This window comes from Homo sapiens, chromosome 16 (assembly GCF_000001405.40).
Source record: "Homo sapiens chromosome 16, GRCh38.p14 Primary Assembly".
NCBI classification, from domain to species: Eukaryota; Metazoa; Chordata; class Mammalia; order Primates; family Hominidae; genus Homo; species Homo sapiens.
The window spans coordinates 56,012,661-56,014,703 of NC_000016.10; the positions used below are offsets into that span (position 1 = coordinate 56,012,661).

Sequence of the window (2,043 nt, forward strand, 5' to 3'; positions counted from 1 at the left end):
GTCTCTGCAATGGCTAATGGGCCACGTGGTGATAGACGGGGACATGGAATGACCTCCAGAATTTGTGCTAGAATGCGAATGTCTAACATAGGAAGGCTTACTGAATTTCAGGCAAGTGAGTGATAGCTTTGCCACATCATGAGCTCTCATCAGGTCTTTCCTGACTGATGTTTTCTCTCACTTTATAGGCTCCCTTGAGGAATACATTTAATTGGGAAAAAAAACAACATACGGTTTCTACTTAATTAGTCCTGTCTCCCATAAAACCAGAACTCTTCACTAAAATATACAAGTACAAATCATTAATCTGAATTATCATAAATGTCATACTGATAGGGTCTGCCTATTTCAAATTCAGAAATATAAATACATAGATATAATTAGATGCTTTACTCTCCAAGTTTTAACTTTCTGGAGTGAATATTTAAACCAGTAGATCTTTACTTTATGGATGTTCTTGGACATCTTGAGATTCTCTTGACAGCTATCACCCCCTCCCTGTAAAAATGCATTTATAAACAACATTTTGCCTACATTTCTAAGGTATGCATAGACTGTCCAGAGCCCATCCATGGACTTCTTTCCTCCCCCATCCCCCAGGTCTAGGGACCCAGGTTGAGAACCCCTCACTTGGTCTCAGCCTTGGTCCTACCTTAAATGCCATGCATTAAGAACACCCCCTGAATTTTTGTAACATTGAGATTTGAGCAAAATCCTTTCCCTAGCCTAAATGATGTTTTAGATCCTGAGAATTACTGATGTTTGGCATCAAAGGCCCACATGGATTTTTCTTTATTAAGGCTTCAACTGCCCTAGCAAAGATTTCTCCCAAATTAATGAAAGATAGGCCCTTATTTGCCCTCTACCTTCTCTGTCTTGGAGCCTTTTTTTTTTTTTCAGCTTATACCCAAGAAAAAGAAAAGAGAAAATTGTTAAAGAGTAAAAAGGTCTTGCTGATTTTTACAAAAACTCATGATTTGCTTCCTTCTAATTAGGATGGGTTAATTTTTCCTTCTCTTTTAACAAACATATTTAAAGTTCCTGAATGATTTTGTAATCAACAGTCTAAAATAGATTAAGTCTAAATACTTAATCTTTCTCTTTAAAGACTCTCCTATGAGTTAAACTCTGTTGCCTTTGGTGTAAATTCCCACCACTTCCACCTCCAAAAGAAACAAAATATCTCTATCCAGACCAGAGAAAGGGTGTTAACAAATATGCTGTCTTTGTTAGGCTGGAATTCCTCAAATCTGATGTCTGAAAATGTTATTCATAACATCCAAATTGGATAAGGCAGAAAGTGAAGCTCTGAGCATTAGTCTCTTCATCTGTAGAAACAAGGCTGATAAAAACACTAACAGTACAGGGTTGCTGTGAGGATTAAAGAATGCAATGTGCTTAAATTACCTGACACAACACCTGTCATATGGCAGCTAATAGACATCTTCCAAGAGGGCTCACACAAAGGCCGCTGCAGCACCACGGACAGCTCCTTGTGCCCAGTCATGTTGGAGACGGTCTTCCTTCCTACAGCTGACGGTTGCTTCACCAGGCTGCCCTGCTCTATGGAGAAGGACTCTGCGGTTCTAAAAGGAACCTTGACCACCTCTTCCTTTTCTGTGTTAAGGAAATGATCCTCTTCATTTCTATCTGAAGGTGCAACCCATCAACATGAGGCTCATCAAAGGGATCTAAGTTCTCACAGGTTTTGTTGGATTCAATACTTGGAATTTCCATTAGTGTCCTGTGGCTAATTCCCCACCAGCCATGCTTCATAAATCCTTATTCCCTGGAGGTGAGGACAGGGACCTTAGGGCTCTTTGTACATCTGGCTCCATCCTTACTGTATTCCTTGACTAGCATTCACTTCCGGAGGGAATACTCTGGCCCTACTCTGTACCTTCTTTGACCTAGTGTGTGGGTTTCAGGGCACTTTCCTGCTACATTTAGGACAGCCAGCTCCCACAAGTGAAAATACCAGCCAAGGCACTATCTTTCTAAATAAAACGCTGACTAAATGTTAGCAGGCTTTTTCGTCAGAAT

General features: G+C 40.3%; 1 annotated feature.

The window, feature by feature from the left end:
- Positions 1,384 to 1,584: a silencer, noted in NCBI's record as "peak2606 fragment used in MPRA reporter construct". NCBI's record gives its function as "represses an SCP1 promoter by STARR-seq MPRAs in K562 erythroleukemia cells {active_cell/tissue: K562}" and the evidence as "EXISTENCE:reporter gene assay evidence [ECO:0000049][PMID:32103011]".